The following is a 23,395-nucleotide window of genomic DNA, read 5'->3' on the forward strand; positions in this document are numbered from 1 at the left end:
TTTACACCTTAACAAAAATTAACTCAAAATGTATCCACAGACCTAAATGTAAAATGCAAAATTATCAAACTCCTGGAAGAAAACACAGGAGAAAACCTAGATGACCTTGGGTATGGCAATGACTTTTTAGATGCAACACCAAAGACACTATATATCCATGAAATAAATAATTGAAATTGGGATGTCATTAAAATTAAAAACTTATGCTCTGTGAAGTCACTGTCAAAAGAATGAGAAGACAAGCCACAGATTGGGGTAGAATATTTGCAAAAGATTCATCTGATAAAGGACTGTTGTCCAGAATGTATTATACAAAGAATTTTTAAAACTCACCAGTATGAAAACTAACAGCTTGATTTTAAAAATGGGCAAAAGACCTGAACAGACACCTCATCAAAAAAGAGATGGGGCTGGGCAAGGTGGCTCACACCTGTAATCTCAGCACTTTGAGAAGCCATGGCAGGCAGATCACTTGAGGTTAGGAGTTCAAGACCAGCCTGGCCAACATGGTGAAACCCTGTCTCTACTAAAAATACAAAAATTAGCTGGGCGTGGTGGCGCAGGCCTGTAATCCCAGCTACTTGAAAGGCTGAAGCACAAGAACCACTTGAGCCTGGAAGGCAAAAGTTGCAGTGAGCTGAGATCGCACCTCTGCACTCTAGCATAGGTGACAGAGTCAGACTCTGTCTCAAAAAAAAAAAAAAAAACACCATGAAAGAGCTGCCAGGGAAGCATACGAAAAGATGTTCAACATTAGATGTCACTGGGGAAAGGCAAATTAAAACAAGAAACAATACACACCTATTAGAATGGTCAAAACCCCAAACAGTGACAACACCATATGCTAGCAAGGATGTGGAGCAATATTAACTCCTAGTGGGAATTCAAACTGGTACAGCCACTTTGGTAGACAGGTTGGCAGTTTCTTACAAAACCCAAACATACTCTTACCATAACCATTCAGCAACCACATACCTTGTTACTTATCCAAATGAACTTAAAAACTTATGTCCATATAAAAACCTGCACTTTTTTTTTTTTTTTTTTTTTTTTTTTGAGACAGAGTCTCCCTCTGTCACCCAGGCTAGAGTGCAGTGGTGTGATCTCGGCTCACTGCAACCTCTGCCTCCTGGGTTCAAGCGATTCTCCTGCCTCAGCCTCCCAAGTAGCTGGGGTTATAGGCGCACGCCACCACGCCTGGCTAATTTGCACATGGGTGTTTATAACAGCTTTATTCATCATTGCCAAAACTTGGAAGCAACCAAGGCGTCCTTCAGTAGGTAAATGGATAAATTGTGGTACATCCAGACAATAGAATATTATTCAGTGTTAAAACAGAAATAAGCTATCAAGCCATGAAAAAGCACAGTGGAAACTTAGATGCACACTGCTAAGTGAGAGAAGCCAATCTGAAAAGGATCTGTGATATATGATTCCAACCATATGCAAGCTGGAAAAGCAAAACTATGGAGACAGTCAAAGGATCAGTAGTTTGGGGGTTGGGGGAAGGGAGGGATAAACAGGTGGAACACAGGATTTTTTAGGGCAGTGAAACAGCTCTGTGTGATGCTACAATGATGGATACATGTCATTTATACATTTGTTCAAACCCAGAGAATGTACAATACCAAGAGTGAATCCTAAGGTAAACAACGGTCTTTGCGGATGATTAATGATGTGTTAGCGTAGGCTGATTGTAACAAACGTACCACCGTGATGCTTGATGTCAATAGTCAGGGAAGTTATGCATGGGGGAAGGGGGCTATATGGGAACTCTCTGTACTTCCTGCTCAATTTTGCTAGGAACCTAAAACTGTTCTAAAAATAGTTTATTAATTTTTTAAAAAGATTAAAATGCTTACAATAATTTAAAACCACTTTGCTAAAATGATTAGTTGCGATTCTTTCAGGACAAAAACGGAGAAAGTATTCCTTCTCCAACCCCGCCCTCAACCTCACACACTCCTATGTTTACCCCCTTCCCTCAGGCATCTCGCTATTCTCAGCACCAGATTTCCAACACTGAACCAGATTTCCATTTTTTGGCTTTCCATCAGCCTCTACTCATGCCTCCTACCACCCTCCAATCACCTTCTCTTCCACAACTGTATTAAGTAGGAATTTTCACCAAGGAGAAGCATATACCACACAAGCCAGCACAACCCGAGGATGTTCTTTTAAAGCCGTTTTCCTCTGAAGTGGCTAAGCTGCCTCTACGAAGCATGAACTAGGTAACCCCAGGGAGCTGTTACCCCAGCAGACTTCTCAGCACTTCCCGCAGAGGCTTCATGCATAGAAGGAACGGGTACTAACCACAGGGGCTCTTGTGACCTCAAGTGGAAAGTTTTAAGCAGCATTGCAAGCTCAGGACCTGCCTCAAAAAGTCAGAGCGGAACAAAAGAACTCCAATGGTAGTTTTTTCTCTCTCTCAAAATATTTTTCTCCCCTAAAGAGAAAAGATTAATGGAATGTTGGAAAGTAAGAGGGAAAAAAATCTCAGTATCTACTTAAAATAAAATACTTCTGTGGGTAGGAGAATACAATTAGTGTCTCTCTTGGGTCATTCAAAAAAGTAAATGTGGAGTCTTGGTTGGTTTCTCCCCATGAAGCAGACAGCCACGGGGAGCGGAGATGGTCCGCCTGTGTGCCTGTAACTACTTAATCACACTTCGCTGTGCCTCCATAGGCTTCCTTTATGTACAGGTTTGATTACTAAAGCAGTGAACTTCTGCAAAAATTATGGAGGAGAGCAGAGACGAATACAAATTGCTTGTTTGTCAAATTGAAGCAGAAAGCACCAAGCAGGAAGAGGTCCTTAGGGAGTATTTCTTTGGGTAGCAAGCAAAGATTAAAATGAAAACACAAGCAACCTGTCAAAAGTGAAGCACCGTTCAGGATAAATGCTCTGTTTCCTGGCTCTTTTTCCTATACAAATATAACCAAAGTTATTACATTGCTTCCCCAATTTTTCTTTTGGGAAAAAGTAGAATAAAGCATAAGCAAACTTCAGTGCTATTTATACACACTGGGTCGCTTCTCACAATGCAAGTACTTTTCTAAATTATTCATACCCAGAATGCTGGGAAACAAAGACAGTGCATCTTTGTTCACTTGCTCTTCCCCAAACAGAACTGGTGCTGAAGTAGCTACTTGACTTTGCAACTACTACATACATGAGTGAGAGGCCTGGAGTTTAAACTGGTTATACAATTCTTCATTAAAACACCTTTTTTTTGTTTATTGTTTTGTTTTTAAGTAGAGGGGAGAAGGCAGAAGAGAGAACAGAGGGAATCAGAAAAGACTTTGCAAACCTTTCTCTAAATGTGTGACAGATGAACTAAGCTGGTGCCTGCTTCCCATATATGCACAGTTTCAGGCAATGAAGAGCCCGCTAGAAACAAAGATACTTGTCCCTAAAGAGAAAGAAGAAAATGACTCTAGATAGGAGCTTCTCTTTGTTTTGGATGTAATAGGTCCATTGCGCCTTGGGGCCATTACAATTTTTGTTGCCTTACAATTTCTTAAAAACATTTACTAAGTACCAATAAATAAATGGTAAACGCAGTTAAGCACTTCTACTTTACTGGTATTTCATTTAATCCTCACAATTACCTGGAGAGGTAGGACTCAACATATTTTTACAGATAAGAAACTGAGCCCCAGAGAACTGTTATGTAACCTATGAGTTAAACTTCTGAAAAGTAAACCTGCATATGTATTTAAATATTGCTTCAAAAAGCTAACCTATTAGACCTTATAACATGTACCTGACAGTAGGAAACCAACAGAAGAAAAGGTGTCAAGAAACAGGGCATGTTCTAACACAAGGGAGGTGCTCTACAGTCAGGGAACATTCAGATTACCTCAAGGAGCATCTCAGTTTCTCCTTCCACCAAGCAACCCCCACCAGATAAAGAAGAGATACTGGATTTTTTAAAATTTAAAATATATTATTTCCCATGTAAAGAGTCACTGGAACATATCTTATACAGTAACTATTATGAAAATTGTTTATTCATCCTCATCCTGGTGCAAATTTGCTGAAATATTTCAGTATTGATTTAAACATAACAATTTAAAATAGATCCACACATGCCATCTTATTCTGAAGTAGTAGGTATTTTTCTATCAATGAAAGAATGTTCAGGAGAAACAGTAACTGGCTTAACTGTTGTTTTACATAAGTTCCCTATTTTGGCAAGGAAATCTTAAAAAACCAGTAAAATAAAGAAGGATTTTGTAACTGCAAAGAAAGTTATTCTACTGGGCTGGGCGCGGTGGCTCACGCCTGTAATCCCAGCACTTTGGGAGGCCGAGGCGGGCAGATCACGAGGTCAGGAGATCGAGACCATCCTGGCTAACACGGTGAAACTCCATCTCTACTAAAAATACAAAAAATTAGCTGGGCATGGTGGCGGGCGCCTGTAGTCCCAGCTACTTGGGAGGCTGAGGCAGGAGAATGGCGTGAACCTGGGAGGTAGAGCTTGCAGTGAGCCGAGATTACGCCACTGCACTCCAGCCTGGGCAACAGAGTGAGGCTCCATCTCAAAAAAAAAAAAAAAAAAAAAAAAAAACACAACGAAAGTGACTCTACTGGGAAAAAAACCAAACACGGTGGGGGATCACAAAGCCTTAACTTTTCCCAAGTTAAAGCTACAAGGAGAAGATAAAGACTGCACATACAAGTCTTCCATTCTCTGATTCTAAGGCATCACAAAAAAAAAAAATGTGCCATAAGAAAGGGATCAGCTAGGCACGGTGGCTCACGCCTATAATCTCAGCATTTTGGGAAGCTGACACGGGCGGATCACCTGAGGTCAGGAGTTCGAGACTAGCCTAGCCAACATGGTGAAACCATGTCTCTACTAAAAATACAAAAATTAGCTGGGTGTGGTGGCACGCACCTGTAATCCCAGCTACTCAGGAGGTCAAGGCATGAGAATCGCTTGAACCCAGGAGGCAGTGGAGGTTGCAGTTAGCTGAGATGGCACCACTGCACTCCAGCCTGGGTGAAAGAGTGAGACTCTGTCTCAAAAAAAAGAGAAAGGGATCTGTAAAAAATAAGAAAGGGATCTGGATGGGCATAACTATGAGACAACACCCCCAAGACAGAGTTCTAGAATTAAGTACAAATGCTTAAGCTTTAAACGCCATACATACCACTGGTCATATGAGATACTTTTGCAAGTTTCTTCATCACATTGTCCAGCCGGGACTGAGTGCTCTCCAATTCGTGAGAGAAATCTTCCAACATACTAGAGAGAAGCAGACACAGAAGGTCGCTGGTAAGCACAAAGCCTTGGCAGTGCACTTGCACTGGGTTAAAAGGACCAGGCCTCCATTTTAGCAAACAAAATAGGCAACACTGGGTTTCAGGACCTCACTCTGTTATCCAAAATCCTTGGGACAAGATAGGATTTTGATTTTGGAATTCTCAGGATTAAAAAAAGCCTAAATTACATATCCTTTGTATTAGTCGACACCACTAGGAGGACACCACCAGGAGGGTCTGGGGCAGTCCCCGTAATCAGATACTTAATATTTCTGCAGAGAAAACTATGAGGAATCACAGTTGGAGTCAGTTCAGGTAAGGTTTTTCTGTAACATGAGCTTGCGGCAAATTTAAAGAAAAAAAAAACAACGAGATTTCTTTAGAGCTTCCTAGATTTCAGAACTGCAAGACTATAGACCTGTCTATACAATAACACAAACTCAGTGGCAGTGCAATGTGGTAGAAACAATGCTATCTGAGGCAGACAACCAGGCTTTGCCACTTGTTTACATTGCTACCTTCGACAACATACTCTATAACTCTTTGGGACTGTTTCCTCACCTGTAAAATAGGGCAATCCTATCAGCTCAACTTCCCTCACAGGGCTCTTGTGAGAACCAGGTAATAAACAAAAGCACTTTATGTCAATATGAGTTAAGGAATGTACTTTAATAAAATAACCTCCTATAAGGCACTACGTGCTTTATTATAAACCCAGAAGGCCTCAGGACTAACATCCCTGATGGGGTGTGTGACAGTGTGTCTGTGCATGCACACGCGCATTTCCCCATCTGTCCTCACAGAGAAACCAGTATTTCCCACTAGGAAAACTGACTCCAGCAGGCTTACACTATTTGCTGTCCAATGTGCAGCTGGGAAAGAAAACCCCAAAATACTATTTCAGCAGTGCCTATTTCATAAGTCACTAAATATTCCAGACTTTTCAACTTTTGATTAGTAAATGATTATTCTGAGGCTAGAATGTAATATGCCAATTAGTACTAACAGTCTTACTAAAAAGGCTGTATTAACTCTGACAGCATCAATGGCAGTTAGAAACTCCTGGTCTTGATCTGTGCCCACAATAGACACCTGACAGCCTTGCAGGATTCAGGGCAACCAACTCTTCATTAAATCAACTGTTACATATATGTTGACAACTAAAATAAGTCTTTGTCCCTTACCTAAATTTTCAAATTAAAAAATATTTAACTCATTTTAGATCCTGGCAGCATCTTGGCGCTGCAGCTGGCAGGCCTATCCAGGCAGGGCCAAACTCTAAAAAGCAAGAGCTACCTTTCTGCGCTAGGTATGACTTTTCATACTGAAGACAAAACAGGCACATCATCAGGCACATCATCCGACCTTCAGTCCATGGACACTCACCAACCAAGTTGCTAGCCCAAATCTATCTCAGTACCATCCAACAAAAATATGAGTCACATATGCCATTTTACATTTTCTAGTAGCCATGTTTGTAAAAATTTCAAAAGAAACAGGTGAAATTAATTCTGTTGTATTTAGTTTAATATAGCCAAAATACTGTAATTTCAACATGTAATATAAAAATTATTAATAAGCTATTTTATATTTTTCTATATGAAGTCTTCAAAATCCAGTAAGCATTTTACCTCTGGAGCACATCTCAATTCAGACTGGCCACATAACACTTACTCAACAGCCACATGTGGCTAGTAGCTATTATACTGGATGGCACAGGTCTAAGTCCAAATCCCATGCTTTTTCCCATTTATCTGTTATTTCTATTTTTTTAGAGACAGGGTCTCCTCTGTCACCCAGGTTGGAGTACAGTGGTGCCATCATAGCTCACTGCAGCCTCAAACACCTGGGCTCAAACAATCCTCCCACCTCAGCCTCCTTCCCTAGTACTTGGGACTACAGGTGTGAACCACCATGCCCAGCGGTTTCATGCCCTTAAAAACAAACCCCTTTACTATTGTTCTAGTGAGCTGTGGAGAGGGAGTGGAGGTAGGGGTGTGTCAATGCACCATCTTTAACTGGAAGTCCCTCTGACTCTATTACCCACTGCCCAGCCAGGCTGCCTCATCAACAGAGAAGCTCAGGCCATTAGTCCTTTCCCCTCCTCAAACTGAACTTTAGGGTCAGGACCCATTTTAGATAGACATGAAACAGATTCTGGCTACTCCAGCTTCCTACCTGGTCTCCCTACCTGACTCCACTGCAGCACATCATCTAAATCACACCTGATCACACCATCACTCCTCACCTCACCTCCACTGGTCTCTCATTATGCTGAGAATAAGTAGTCGTACCTCCTTACCATGCTGACAAGGCCTTCCCTGGTTTGTTCTCTGCCTCCAGACACATGGAACCTCTCTGCTCCATGCACGTGTGCACCTCTCCATCTTCACAGGTGCATTTTCTTCCTCCTGGTCTACACACCCCACACCACCTGCCTCCACACCAACTCTCACCTCACCTGGCTAGCATCCACACATCCTTCAGATTTCAGTTAAACCCCTCTTCCTCAGGGACCTTGGGCTAAGTCAGGGCTCTCCAGGCAGCATGCACTGGCCCCATCACAGGGGCCCTCCCACTTCACTGCCATCACCTAATGACCCCTCGCCACTTACCCAATATCCGTTCTACCCTGCAAGCGGCAAACTCTTTGGCAGAGATGGGTTGTCTTGTCTGCTCTGTTCCCTTCTATATCCCTTGGCTTCCAGAAGGCCCGGTGTAGAACACGGGCCCACTAAGAATTCATAATCAATCAATGTGTCATGATAAACGTAATATCGAGACAGGAAAGTTTCTGAAATATCCTGGTGGACTGTTTTTTCATTTTTCTCTTTCAAAAGATTTACAAAATGATGTGGCAGCATTTAAGAATGCAGTTTTTGCCATCGAACTTCTGGGTGCAAAAGGGATTGTTCATAAGGAAAAACAAACTGAGGTTATGTTTTGTTTTTATTTATTTTTCTGAGAGGAAAGAGTTTTTATTAACTGGCGTTAAATTTGTAAGTTTTTTTTAAAAAAAAAAAACAAAGTTACAATAATTTAAGATTCAAAGCAAAACGTGTCTGTTCAATATAGCAGGAGAGTCATGGGATGATAAAGTCAGCTCATGTCCTATCCTCTCTGGAACAAAAATTCCCACAGGTTACAGAGGCTTCTCTGTTTCATATTCCCATTCATAACTATACTTCGAGTATCTGCTCAGAGACATCTGTGTCTGTTTTTGGAGGTGTTTAAAAATAATAACAACTTCACCTAAAGCCTGTAGTAAAATTTACGAAGTAGAATTGCTTCTTTTGGGGAGGCTAATCTGTAAAACAGAATAAAAATGCAGCTATGAATAAAATAGCTTTTGATTTTACCAGCCACGTAGCTGCCAGGCTTTTTAGGGGTGTCATAGGATGGCTCTGCCCCTCAATTTCACTGAAGCGAGAGGGGTGTCTCAATACTCACACTGCCTGTTCCTCCAGCTCCCCTCCGATGCGCTGGGACATGTTCTTCAGCACCCCGATGCTGCCAGAGACCAGCTCCAACTGCTCATCCTGCTGTTCCACGATCAACTGGTGCCAGAGAAATGGGAAATAAGCAATTAAAATCCATCTTACCTGGTTCCAAGCCCAGCACTCTAGCAGCTGCTAGTTTCTTTGCCAACTTGGGACAATTCACATTCAGAAGCAAAGCCCAGAAATCAAAGGACCAGACCGTTGCCTCTGAGAACACACTGCTCAAAAGGCTGGATTGTTAAGCTACTGATATCTCCTGCTGATCCAACTTGTGAACAGTCAGCGGGGCTTGAAACCACCAAGAGAGATTTACTCTGGTTGGCTGACGTCCAATAATGGAGCAGACAATGGTTGAAAGCACACGTGCAGATGACCATTGAGACATGGGGATGTTTGGGAGGAGGAAGCCCATTGCCAAGATCAAGGTCTCAATCCACAACAGACTGCCACAGCTTAAATACAAGAGAGTCTGGCAAATCTCTGGATGTGGGGAAACTATGCAGTCTTTCCTCTCTCTTCAAGGACAAACGAAAGGATTCCCTGTGGCAATAAGTTACCTCAAGGACAACTACTGACTGACAAATATTTACTTTTAGTTGTGTTGCATTCTTCTCACTTTCTATAGAAAAAAAATTTCCTGGGTTTAATAGCAATTTAAGTAGACAACTGGTTAAGCAGACATACTAATGTAAAGAACAAAAGAACATATAAACTACATGTATACATAAAACACAATATTTAAGAATCAATAGTTTCAATGGGTACATGCTCCTCAAATCCCCAGACACATTATCATTAGCTTGCTTTTATTAATACAGCTACATATCAAAGGCATCAACAGACATAATCAATTTCATTTTCCTTCTACCCCTTAACCTACACAAAAGCAGTCATCTTTACATATAACAAAACCAACCAATAGGCCGGGCGCGGTGGCTCATGCCTGTAATCCTAGTACTTTGGGAGGCTGAGTCAGGTGGATTGCCTGAGCTCAAGAGTTCGAGACCAGCCTGAGAAACAAGGTGAAACCCCGTCTCTACTAAAATACAAAAAAAAAATTAGCTGGGCGTGGTGGCGTGCACCTGTAGTCCCAGCTACTCAGGAGGCTGAGGCAGGAGAACTGCTTGAACTCGGGAGGCGGAGGTTGCCGTGAGCCGAGATGGTGCCACTGCACTCCAGCCTGGGTGACAGAGTGAGACTCCGTCTCACAAAAAAAAAAAAAAAAAAGAAACCAATCAATAATTTTCGAAGAAAAAAATGAGAGATCTTTCTGAAAGTGTCTTTGCTGAGATGGACAAAGGTCTGTTTTTTCTAAGAGAACTAACTGAGCTTGGTTCTTTATTTTTTTAGAGAAAGGGTCTTGCTCTGTCACCCAGGCTAGAATGCAATGGCATGATCGAAGCTCACTGTAGCCTTGAACTCCTGGGCTCAAGGATCCTCCAGCCTCAGCCTCCTCAGTAGCTAGGACTAAAGGTGTGAGCCACCACGCCTGGCTGAGCTTGGTTCTCTTGAAGCAGTCACACTGTGAAGATTTTGAAACCCTTTACATATGCAATTATTAAACACAATCAACACAGGACAAGCTCTGGCTTACCCTCCTTGTCACTAAGCCACAAGACCCCATGGCTGGCAAAGGAACTAAGGGGGTGTCTTGTTTCCCACTGGCCCGTCCTAAGTCTGGGGTCCTTGGGGTACCTGCTGCTGTGCCTGCTGCTCCTCAATGAAATGAGAATTGGCTCTCTGGAGCTCTCGGTCCAGACGCCCATATTTATCTGTTGTTCCAGTGCTCCAGTTCTGGCTGCCACTGTCTCCCAGCAGTGCCTGTGTGAGAAGAACAACCAGAGGAGTCAGGAGAAACAAACAATTACTATCTCTGAACAAGTGATGCATCAAGAGTGATATAAAGAGTTTTCACATTTCTTGTCTATTTTCCCCTGGGCAAGGCTTTTATGTAGTGGTGTAGGTTGGTGCCTGGGTGGTACTATTTAAGGAATTCCAGGAAGGGCCCTCTATGTCTTTAAGCTCTCCCAATAGGCCTCACAATGGGCTTTGTCCCCTTAAAGTGCAAATAAACGTCTGCTAAATCAACAAACACCCATCTATATACTGTGTTATAATTGAAAAGCATTCAATCTCTTGTAAAAGAGCTCTTCCTGGTACCTGTGGAACTTCAGCAACCCATAGGTTCCAGTCAACCTGATTCCGAAGATCTAGAGTACTTTTTTAAAAAAAGTGTGACCCAGGGGAAGTTGTGGGTTTTTTTGGTGGGGGGAAAGGGAGAGTTCCCTGGAATGACAAGAAGGTAAGCCATAGCCCTTCACACACAAAGGCACAAGAACCATCAATGTCTGTTAAGTTTAACCCATGAATAGAATCCAGGGTCCTTCAGGCTTTCCAGATGACAACTGGGGGTTACTTTACAGGCAGGTATGACCACAAGGAATGCCTGACCCTGGCAACCGAGGCAAGGGCTGCCCTAAAGTCAGAGTTCTCCACCAGGGCTCCCAGACACAAGGGTCGGGTTTCCCAAGTATGAATTCAAGGAAGTTTGCAGCCATAAATGGGTATGTCTTCCTCACATGAAGAAGACAGGCAGGAATGTGAGAGTTCCATCTCAGCAGTTGGTTCTGACCAGATCCCCACAAGCCTTCCTGACTGGTCAAAGTAACTGCTCACACCAGCCCCGCAGGCAAGAGCCAGAAGACGCTAGCAACTAAGACTCTTTTTCCTTGTAGAGTTGCCAAATTTTCCTATCGGGTAATTTAAAAAAAATCTCAGGCACTATTAAAAGCCTGCCTGGTTACTTGGTTCTGTCTGAAAACCCTTCCAACAGCCCCATGACCTTCCTCCATACTGACACTGACCTCTTCTCAGACTGCGAGGGGTGAACTCCATCAAATGGCCAGACTTCAGGGGCTAGGATCAGGGAAGCTCAGTTATTAGAAGCTTTTCTTACAAGAGCTTCCAGGGGCCCAGAGCTTCAGTCCAGCTGGATGGTGACTGTCTCTGGTGTAAAGCAGATCCAAGGCTTTTTGTGGGTGGCTCTGCCCTGACCTGGTCTTAGGGCTATCAAGACTGAAAAGATCCTGCTCATTATGATCCACACTCTAAGGACCTCTATGGAAGACATGAGGAAATAGTGACAATTTTTTTAGGGTCAGAAAAATGCTATAATGCATCACTGGCCTAAGGACAGAGAACTGGGACACCACCAGGGCCTTGTGTGCTCCTGAGGTCACAGGGCTATTTTTCCTACGTTTTCCATGGTGTACACTTAGGTAGAGCTAAGTATAGGGCAAATCATCCACGTTTTATTGTGAAATAGCTTAAAGTTCATCAGTCTGATCCCAAATGTTTGTGATAATAGGATAGAGATTGAGAGAGGGCCCAAGGACTGGAAGATGCACCTGTGTGTGGGTGCCAGAGCAGGGGTGCTGGTGAGGCAAGGAGCAGCACAGAGCCTGGCACCTGGCACAACGTGGCAAGGCCCATGCCTGCTGGAGTGCTTAGAGAGCCCTGATCCTGCTATTCCTTGAAAATTTGCAACTTGACATTTCACTCATAGCCTAAAACAAAATTCCAAGCCATAACTAGATAGGCAATATATAAATACATACATGTATATATACTTTATATAAAATATATTTAAATTTATATATATATATTTATAAATATATAAATATAAATTTTATTTACGTTAGCCCAACTATACTATCTAGAGAATAAAACATTCAAATTAAGAGTAACAGCATAGGTGTTACTGACCTCACTGTCACAACTACTTCAGTTACTTCCACTTCCTATAAGCTCAAGTGCAAATGAGAAGAGAACTCCAAAACTAGCCAACTTGAGGGCATTCACTAGCTTCTTTCAAGAGAGGGAGCCAGATGGAATGGACCAGCTAGTGGCTTTTCCTAGCTATATTGCTCAAAAAGAAAGCAAAGGAGGCAAATAAGATTAAAAAGCCAAAAACAAAACAATGACTTGAAAAATGGAATGCAAGAAAAGGAAACAGGAAAATTAAGTTAGGTGATATTTATAGAACCCTGCCCCTTCTTCAAGCTTCCATAATATTTGTTTTCAAAATTAAGTGTCTTGACAAATACCCACAGGTATGAAGTACTGATTGCTAGTTAGTATAAATAGTGAAATTTCTCAAGAGCCTACTAAATGGACAATTCATAACTTTCTGGAATCTTAATAAAATGAGACTAAGGTAAGTCATTTAAAGCAAATAGTATCATTTTTCATGAAGTCTTTTTTACTTCTAAGGAAAATGGATATCCACAGAATTTAAAAAACTACTTCTGTCAAAAAAATTACCTAACAGTTTAGCAACAGGCAAAAACATTCTATCCCACCAAAAAAAGTCTAAATCAAATCTCAATCTAAATGAAAGTCCAAATTCTAGATGATCATTCTACATTTTTTAAAAGGACTGTATTTTAACAATTAGAAAGGAGCTTCTATCAATATGCCAAAGTATGTAATTCTTTTAAAACTACTTAAAACAAAGAGAAACTTAATTTAACACACAAGTTTAAGGTTCCTCTAATGTCTTTACATCAAATGTCAATCCTTAGATGTCTAATGTGTTCCATGGGTAGGCAATGTAGTAACTGCTAGAGAGCTCAAAACAAACAAACAAACAAGAAACAAAAAACCATGACACACATCTCTCCTCACTGTCAAAGGGCCTGGAGCCCAGCAGAGAGAAAGACAGTAATTATAGCCCTTCAAAGAGCCTGGCACACAAAATGTGTTCAATAGGTACAGAATAAACACATTAAAAAAGTAAAAGTACTCTGTGATAAGTGCTATAGTAAGGGTAGGCAAAAGGTGCTATGGAGCCCAGAGAAGAAGACCAGAGGGTAAGAGGAGGGGAGGGAAATGTTGACAGGGTGCTGGGACAGGCTGCCTGGACTGTCACAAAACCTCCCATGGTCACACCAGGGCCTGCAAGCAGAAGTCTTCCTCTTGATTACATGATCCATGGATGGTCAGCATTTTTAAATTCCAAATATCTAACTGTATGCTTTCTGTCATTGATAATTATATTCTGATGTTTTCTCACCTGTCTATTTTTTCTTTCAGCTAATGCCTGCACAGATGAAGTTGACATCTGATCTTTCATGTCCTAATGAGAAAGAAGATACGAAAACAAATGAAAAATATCCTTAAACAAAATCACAGTTAACATTTCATACATTAGCAAAACACACAATTTATTATTACTTTTTAAAAAGAAGACCGCATTTCTTGGCTTTATTTTCAGTCTCAAAAATAAAGAAAATAAAATAAAAAGAAAGATGGTCCCTTAAAAAGAAGTAACCTGGATACTAATTTGAATAGGAGGAAAGAGAAAGGAATTAACATTTACCAGGTACCTACCACAGGTCAGAAACAGTGCTAAACACATACACACATTATCACTGAATTTTCACAAGGACCCTGTGAAGCTGGTACTATTTCCATTTTAAGGTTGAGGAGACCTAGGTCCAAAAAGACGATGATACTTTCTCAAAGTCACATCACTAATAAAGAACATCCCTGGGGTACAAACACAAAAGCACGTGTTCAAGGGCTTGCATCTTTTTTACAATATATGTAAAAAACCATGTGCTTTTAGTATAAAGTATATTTACCATTAAACACCAAAGAATACTTCCAAATAGTGGTACAACAGGTCACTTATTTTATTTCTGAGTTGGATTCATGAAAGGTATAGACTATTCCTAACATCAGAGTGAATTTCCAGAGTGGTGTCAAAAATAATTTTGTATGGAATGAAAAGTGAATAGATCCATTACTTTATCTGAAGCAAAACACTTTATTAAATATGAGTCATTCTGCTTATTTAGCTACAATCCAATCTACTATAGAATGATTTGAACTGAATACATGACTGCAACAACAGTTTTTAAAAGGTCGTCAAAATATAATTTATGCAAACATCAAAGTGTAAGACTTTTAGAAACTTCTTTAAAGACCCATGACAAGTAAACAGATGAGACAGTGCCACCGCTTTTACAATCCCAGAACTGTGGTAAATGTGAGTGAGAACCACCTGATTCAACTTTCAAACCACTCATCTATCCATTTAGCAAACACTCACTGATGTCTACTATGTGGCCAGGCATACAGCAGTGAATGATACTAGCTAGGCCCCTGCCCACATGGAGTTCACATCATGATGACATGCCTGAGTCAGTCACGTGAGTGTTGTTAAAGATGCAGTTCCCCTGGATGTCACTATGCTCAGTGAAATAAGCCAGGCACAGAAAGACAAATACTGCATGTTCTCACTCATAAGTGGATGAGATTTCACTCACGGTGGATTTCATGAAGACAAAGAATAGATAGGTGGTTACCTGAGGCCAGAAGAGTGCAGGGGGAAAGGAGGATGAAGAGAGGTTGATTAATGGGTAAAAAATACAGTTAGAAGAAATAAGACCTAGTGCTCAATAGATCAGTAGGGTGACTATAGTTCAACAATAATCTATCGTATATTTCAAAATAGCAAGAAGAGAATAATTCAAATGTTTGCAGCATAAATGTTTAAAATGATGGATATTCCAATTACCTTCATTTGATCATTACGCATTATATACATGTATCAAAATATCACATGTACCCTAAAAATATGCACAACCATATGTATCAAGAAATTTAAAAAAAAATTTTTTTTTTTTTTTGAGACAGTCTCACTCTGTCACCAGGCTGGAATGCAGTGACGTAATCTCGGCTCACTGCAACCTCCGCCTCCTGGGTTCAAGTGATTCTCCTGCCTCAGCCTCCTGAATAGCTGGGACTACAGGCACGCACCACCACACCCAGCTCATTTTCCTATTTTTAGTAGAGACAGGGTTTCAGTATGTTGGCCAGGATGGTCTCGATCTCTTGATCTTGTGATCTGCCCACCTCGGCCGCCCAAAGTGCTGGGATTACAGGCATGAGCCACCATGCCTGGCCTAAAAATATTTTTTAAATGTAGTTCCCTAGGCCCCTATGAGACCTACGAAGTCAGACTCTTGACGGCACATTTTTAACAAGCCCCCTCCCCATCCCCATTCCTTGTCTTACAATGGAAATCTAGAAGCCTTCAAGAGAAACTGATCACTATGCTAGTATCTCCTGGACTGCAGGATTCGTTTTCTGATTATCAATCAGAGTTTAAGATGACATTCTGACAGTCAATCCAACAGCCCGATTTATTTAATATTATTAAAAACTACGCAGAGCAACATTCACTAGGGGGATAATACATGCCTTTAAAAATATACTCAGCTGGGCACTATGGCTTGCGCCTATAGTCCCAGCACTTTGGGAAGCCAAGGCAGTCGGAACGCTTGAGGCCAGGAGTTGCAGACCAGCCTGGGCAACATAGCAAAACCCCATCTCTACAAAATTAATAAAATAAAAATATAGTCAGTGCATTTTATAATAGTGTTTTTTTAAAACAACACATTACTTGCATAATAAAAATATCAACATGCAAGTATGGGAAAGTGACATGTTAGCCTTTGAACATTACATGTACAACATACTTTTGCTGTTAGAAGTCAGTGCAGTGGGGGGTAGAGACATTGGCTAAAAAGGAGCACAGGCACCTTCTGGGGGTGCTGGTAACACCCTGCAATGCTTCTGGGTGCTGTTGACATGGCTGTGTTCAGTTTATAAATTTATTAAGCTATATGTTTAGGTTAATTACACTTTTCTGTACCGTTATATTTTAGTAAATATATGTATTTTTAATACTACTGGTCCCAAACAATGGCTGGATGGTAAACTAGAACAGCACTTTGAAAATAAATTTGTCATTCTGTACCATGAGTCTCAAAATATTCACTGCCTTGACCCAGTAATTCCACTAACAGGAATTTATTTTAAGGAGATAACATAAAATAGATACAAAAAAAGACATGCAGAGATGTGTACTGCAGTATTATTTATAATAAGAAAAAAAGTAGAAATAAGCAGCAAGCCCAAATAAGGGAACAGCAACACAATCCACACAATGCAGTATTATATACTAGGCATTATGTACTAGGCATTGTGCTTATGAAGAGAGTTCAGTGAACAGACAATTCACAAAAACCCCACAAATGATCAAACATGAATAGATGCAATAACCCACTGGTAATCAAAGAAGTGTAGCTAAGAGACATTTTCTCCAATTAGACCAAGAAAGATGAAAAAGATTGATAATACTTAGTGAAGGTATATTCTGATACTCTATCAGAAATATGACTGATAAGGTCTTTTTGTAGGATACTTTGAAAACAATTTTTTTTTTTTTGAGACAGGATTTCACTCTGATGCCCAGGCATCATCAGTACGGTGGTGCCATCACAGCTCACTGCAGCCTCAACCTCTCAGGCTCAAACAATCCTCCCACCTCAGCCTCCCAAGTAGCTGGGACTACAGGCACGTGCCACCATGCCTATTTATTTTTTAAATTTTTGGTAGAGATGAGGTCTCACTATGTTGCCCAAGCTGGTCTTGAACTCCTGAATTCAACTGATCTTCCTGCTTTGGCCTCCCAAAGTCCTAGGATTACAGGCATGAGCCATCATGACTGGCAATGAATATTTAAAATGTGTATTCTCATTGAATTTTTTACGAAACAATTATGTAAGTTATGCTCACAAAGATGGTCACTGAAGCATGGTTTGCAATTTCCACTAATAAACAATAACCAAAATATCTACTGGTAGGTCAATGATTAAATAAATCATAACAGAGCCACATTAAAGGAGAGGGAAACAGCATGATCTTTCATGTCAAAGACCTAGGTTTAAGACTTAGTTATGCTTTTTAATAGCTGCACTAAGTTTCTATTTCTTCTGTACATTTAGAATAATATCTTTTAGAATCATTGTAGGGATTAATAGAGGTAACACATGAAGCCTGATTAACAGTAGCCAACAATATAGTAAGCACTCAATAAACATTATCAGCAAATAAACGTATGCAACTATTAAAAAGGATAGTCTGCTCCTGGGTAATACAGGACCCACTAGCTACTGAGCACTTAAAATGTGGTCAGTGCAACCGAGGAACTGAATTTTACTTTAATTAATTGATACTCAGTTATTAGAAAACTTTGAAGTATGTCTAGAAAAAATTGGGTTTGTGACTCTACTTTTTCAATTGTAAGTTCTGTAAACTCTAAATACAGATCAAGTATTTCCAATGAAAATTTCACATCTGAATTGAGATATGCTTGAGTGTAAAATACATGCCAGATTTATTACAAAAACAGTTTAAAAAATTTAAATCTCTCATTAATATCTCTTATATTGACTACATATTTAAATGATCATGTTTTGGATATATCAGGTTAAATAAAATATATTAAGCTCACCTATTTTTACTCTTTTAATGTGGCAACTAGAAAACTAAAAATGACCAAGAGGTTCCCATTTTATTACTACTGAACAGCACTTCTCTAGATTTATCTGTGTCATTGTAAGACTATGTCCACAATGTAATTTTTCATAGAAAAAAAGTTACAGATTATCATGCCACTGCTTTTTAAAAGTTTGCATATTTCAATGTCCATAAAATGGCTGTGAAAAATAAAATTGTTGACACTAATTATTTCTAGGGAGTGAAATTGGAGAACGAAGAGGCATTTTCTCTTCAAAGTTTTTTCATCAGGATTATTTGCATTTTATAAATACCAAGTACAGATTATTTTTAACCTAAGAAAATAAAATGCTATGATTGCATAACAGTATGATCACAACTATGTAAAAATACAACTGCCCTGCATTGGGAGGAAAATTATGAAGAAAATGCAAAGTCTTGTGCTATGTATTATTCTGAGTTTAGATTCCTTTTCCTACTTTTACTTCTTGAAAATTTTCTCTAATTTTCTTTGAGCTTGCATTATCATAATTAAATGTGTATTCTAAAGTTGCAGTTTTTAAAGTTTTATGCTTAATAAAAACCATGTGGGGTTATGTGTGTGCCTGCATGGGTGTTAGCCCTGATGAGGCAGATTCCTCCAATAGCCCTGTGGGTAGGCATCCTGTATGTGACCACCACCACCGCGGGTAAGGATCTAAGGATCTATGGCTTTCACTTCTTTTTTTTTTCTTTTTTCTTTTGAGGAGTCTCACTCTGTCTCACAGGCTGGAGTGCAGTGGCACAATCTCAGTTCACTGCAACCTCTGTCTCCGGTTCAAACAATTCTCCCACCTCTGTCTCCCAAGTAGCTGGGACTATAGGCAGCTGCCACCACACCCAGCTAATTTTTGTATTTTTAGTAGAGACAGAGTTTCACCATGTTGGCCAGGGTGGTCTCAAACTCCTGCCCTCAAGTGATCTGCCCGCCTCAGCCTCCCAAAGTGCTGGGATTATAGGCATGAGCCACCACACCCCGCCAGCTTTCACTTCTAAGATGGCACTTTATCCATGTAGGTCAAAAGTTAGCAGATACCACACAACACCTTCATATTGGAATTCGGGATCTTAAACTATGTTACTAAATAGTTTTAAACATTTTATAACAATCTATCATGCCAAAAACATAATTACTCATCTTCTTTCTAACACATGACGTTTAGAACCAGCAGTCAAGCAACAAGTCCCAATAAAATATGGTTCATCTGCCAAAGGAACAACAAATGTCCTGGTTATTTATGCTTCTGTTCCCATTTCACACTGTCTTCCAAGCTGAATGAATGAGACATCATAAACCCCAGTGCTTCCCACTCATAATTCTTACATTTCAAGGTCATCTGTGCTCACACTGGATACTTCACCCTTTTTGATTAACCAAAGCCATTTCCATCTTGACTTACAATTGACTGTAAACAATTCTTACATTGGAGCAGGTTCGGTTTTTTCATGGAGAGGGTAATAGTTCTAACTTTTAAAGTCAGAGAATGTTAGTGAGGATTATTTCATAGATAAAACTGAGATCCAGGGAGGTTGAATGACTTACCATGGTTAAGATTTATTAAGGTCACAGCTTAGCCTAGAACTCAGGTTCCCTTACCCCTTATATTCACCATTATTCTGCCATATACTGCAAAACCTCTTGATCCTAAAGTAAAACCAAAGTCACTTCTAGGATATATTTCTAAAACACAAAAATTTCACATGTGGAATCTTTGATGTATAGGTGACTCCACAAGAGTAAAAATGATTACCTCAAAAATATGAAAGCTATTTACACAAAAATGTGAGTATTTTGGTTCTTCACTAAAAACTGCCAGCAAAACTGGATTTGTACAGACTTAAAAGATGCTTGGAAAAACATACACAAAACTCTAAACAAGGAAAGCTTACTAAAGGCATAACCAATGGACATTAATCAAGAAGAAACAGGCGATTTACTTCTTCAGGTTGAAGCAAATAAAGAAAAAAAAAACCACAAAATGCATAGAGTATCACTGACTCCCCTGCCTACAAAAGAGAAAGCATAAGTAGAATACACTGTTTGAAAGATAAAGTCAATCAAAATTTTGGAGCAATATTAAATGAAAGCCCACTAGTAATAGTAACAGAAGAACTAACATAAATTTGTACAAATTCCTAATTTGAACTTCATTTCATCTCATTTTCCAAATCTGCTAACCCTCTGCTCCCTCTCTATCGAGCTCTTCCACCCAGAACCCAGAAATCTCTACATACAAACACTGTTTAGCTAAATGTGGTAATGTGGAATTATACAAGGTATATTTTATTTTTAATCGAGTTAGCACCATTGCTATTTCCTCCTCTTCTATAGGACTTTCAACTAGAATTTATTACAATCAGATCAGCAAAAGCTCAGTTAGGTACTGTTAGCCTACCACTGGTAAATACTAACAGCTTCCCCCAAAGGGGTCATAAATTTAAACAAGAATGATTTAAAACCCTAAAATATTCAGGTGGATCACATAGTTGAGTATGGTTTAGATCTCAACTCTAAAAGGACAGTAAGATTTTGAAGTACTGACTTGATTTGGAATACCTCTCATTACTCTGTTCTCACATTGCTATAAAGAACTGCCCGAGACTGGGTAATTTATAAGAGAAAGAGGTTTAATTGACTCACAGTTCAGCATGGCTGGGGAAGCCTCAGGAAACTTACAATCATGGCAGAAGGAGAAGCAAGGCAACTTCTTCACAAGGCAGCAGGGAAGAGTGACAGAGCAAAGTGGGAAGAGCCCCTTATAAAACCATCAGCTATCATGAGACTCACTCACTATCATGAGAACAGCATGTGGGAAACTGCCCCCATGATTCAATTACCTCCACCTGGTCTCTCCTTTGACACATGGGGATTATGGGGATTACAATTCAAGATGAGATTTTGGGTGGGGAAACAGCTAAATCATATCAACCTCTTTCTAAGAATGTACTTTAAAAAGCTTTTCAGATATTAGAAAATGAACTTTGGATTCTTCTTTCCATTATACCAATGAACTTAATTTTTAATATACGAACCTCTAAATTTCAATTTGCAAACTTCCTAAGTCTACCTTGCAGAAATAAATATAATGATTAAGGTTAAGGACATATGCTTCACTGCAAGGCCCCACTTAAATATTAACGTCTATAGGAGTATCCTTCAAAAAACCTACTACTACAAAAAAAAAAAAAAAAAAGCTTATACAAAATAATTGGGGATTTACTTATCTTACAAAAAATATGTCACCTAACAACAAGGCTTCCTCATCAGAACAGTATTTTGAACTGGCTAGAAATTAAGAATGTCCAATCCAAACACTCACTGTGGATGGGGCATCTGAGGTCCAGAAAGGTTTCTCCCTCATTAAAATGTGGGTTTATCTATAAACAATTTACGTATATGTATATAGAAAGGCAACTAATGAATAAAACAAGTAACAAGAATATATAAAGTTCAGTGATAATCTACCATTTGAAATAATTTCAAAAGGAAATCACATGATATAAAGACTTTGGCAAACACAAACTAAGGTTCCTGCCTAAGATGACTCTTAAAAAGCCGTATGTTAGCACTGGTATGATCCCAAGTCTTTTTATTCAAGGAAGCTGCTTTCTAGTACATATGTTAAAGACAGCTGGTTCTCTTACATCTAGTTATGCTAATCAAATGGCTTAGCCATATAGTTTCAAAATATGAAACATTTTAATGACACAAGATTGTACTTAATATTTTTTCTCAGATTCTTTAATAATGGGTATTATTCTAAATAACTTAGAACTAAAGATTTGTTCACTTGGATCAATTTTTTACACTCTGATAGATGCTTGTTTGCTCTGGATAACTCTGGAACGGCTGTCAAGTAGTTACATATGGAAATGTCAGTATCTTGGGTTGCAAGAGTTCCAGAAGCAATTCAGATGGCGGAAGAGGCCGCTATCCAAACCCACTAAGAGTCACTCTTCAACAATGCGAAGTGATTACCAATCAATCAAAAAACCAAATGGTTTCTACAATAGCAATTGTTTTGTTCGTCAAGAAATAGAGTACACTAAGAAATAAAAAGTGAGAAAGATAACTAGCTTGAAGAAACTAGAGGTATGGACAAGGGTCTAATCATTCAGGATGACACCATTTGAATGTACCCTGCCCAAAGCCAGCAGATTACTGTCTCATTTTTGCTCTCGGAAATAAGCCTGACAGGCTGGGCATGGTGGCTCACGCCAGTAATCCCAGTACTTTGAGAGGCTGAGGCAGGCAAACTACTTGAGTTCAGGAGTTCAAGACCAGCCTGAGCAACATGGTGAACCCTGTCTCTACAAAAAATTAGCCTGGTGTGGTGGTGCACGCCTGTAGTCCCAGCTATTTGGGAGGCAGAGGTTGTAGTCAGCCAAGATCATGCCACTACATTTCAGCCTGGTCAACACAGTGAGACCTTGTGTCAAAAAAAGAAAGATTAAAAACAGATTTCTTTTTCTTCAATCACGGAAATTTTTTTTTTTTTTTAAGGTACAGTGACGTGATCATAGCTCTCAGCCTCAACCTGATCCTCCCACCTCAGCCTCCCATCTTGGTCTTCCATGTAGTTGAGACAACAGGTGTGCACCACCATGCCCAGCTAATTTTTATATTTTTTTTTTGTAGAGACAGGGTTTCATCATGTTGCCCGGACTGGTTTCAAACCCCTGGGCTCAAGTGATCCACCCACCTCCACCTCCCAAAGTGCTGAGATTACAGGCATGAGCCACCATGCGCAGCCAATCAGAGAAATTATATATGGGGAAGCTCACATTTAATTCATATTTAAAAAGTGGTTTCAGAGGTGACCTATTAGTTTACAATTAAGGGAAAGAGCTCTAAGAAGTCTGGCTATTTCTTATACAGATAACACAATAAGATCATATTCCTTACCCTGACAACTTGCCGAGTACTTGTAATGAAGGCTTTTCTTATACTCAATTCAGTTGCATCAAGGTTAAATTTTCTAGGATTTGCTTCAACTATGCGTAGGTCAAAAAGTCAAGGTAAAACAATTTCATCATCAAAGCCTGACAACATCCTGTTAACTCACTGAATCTCTCACATGCAAACAAATAAAATCTGGCTCAAACTTTCTGAAAACACAGTCAGCTGGACACCAATCATTCTCAGACTTCCTCTGCCCACAGCCACAGGAGGGAGGATCCCTTTGCTCCAAGACAGAGATGATCTGTCTGG

At 39.9% G+C, this 23,395-nt stretch overlaps 1 protein-coding gene across 2 annotated transcripts in view, besides 3 other annotated features; it reads right to left on the reverse strand.

Moving 5' to 3' along the window:
• The window catches only part of STX6 (syntaxin 6), a 50,146-nt gene that overhangs the window by 6,792 nt on the left and 19,959 nt on the right, over nt 1–23,395 (reverse strand). Inside the window, exons 3-7 of one of the 2 annotated variants that reach the window (NM_005819.6) lie at nt 23,090–23,184; nt 13,847–13,909; nt 10,468–10,593; nt 8,723–8,829; nt 5,161–5,255 (exon numbers count right to left, since the gene is read on the reverse strand). In NM_005819.6, the coding sequence (NP_005810.1) occupies nt 5,161–5,255; nt 8,723–8,829; nt 10,468–10,593; nt 13,847–13,909; nt 23,090–23,184 (486 nt within the window). The remainder of the gene's footprint in view (nt 1–5,160; nt 5,256–8,722; nt 8,830–10,467; nt 10,594–13,846; nt 13,910–23,089; nt 23,185–23,395) is intronic. The other variant, NM_001286210.2, reaches the window with a different exon arrangement.
• Nucleotides 2,172–2,251: a silencer, noted in NCBI's record as "silent region_1598". NCBI's record gives its function as "represses an Ori minimal core promoter by ATAC-STARR-seq in GM12878 lymphoblastoid cells {active_cell/tissue: GM12878}" and the evidence as "EXISTENCE:reporter gene assay evidence [ECO:0000049][PMID:35858748]".
• Nucleotides 11,293–11,453: a silencer, noted in NCBI's record as "fragment chr1:180959945-180960105 (GRCh37/hg19 assembly coordinates)". NCBI's record gives its function as "represses an EF-1alpha promoter that drives an FKBP-Casp9 reporter gene in an ReSE screen in phorbol 12-myristate 13-acetate-treated (for megakaryocytic differentiation) K562 erythroleukemia cells {active_cell/tissue: K562(+PMA)}" and the evidence as "EXISTENCE:reporter gene assay evidence [ECO:0000049][PMID:32094911]".
• Nucleotides 19,683–19,883: a silencer, noted in NCBI's record as "peak491 fragment used in MPRA reporter construct". NCBI's record gives its function as "represses an SCP1 promoter by STARR-seq MPRAs in K562 erythroleukemia cells {active_cell/tissue: K562}" and the evidence as "EXISTENCE:reporter gene assay evidence [ECO:0000049][PMID:32103011]".

Source organism: Homo sapiens, chromosome 1 (genome assembly GCF_000001405.40).
Source record: "Homo sapiens chromosome 1, GRCh38.p14 Primary Assembly".
Classification (NCBI taxonomy): Eukaryota; Metazoa; Chordata; class Mammalia; order Primates; family Hominidae; genus Homo; species Homo sapiens.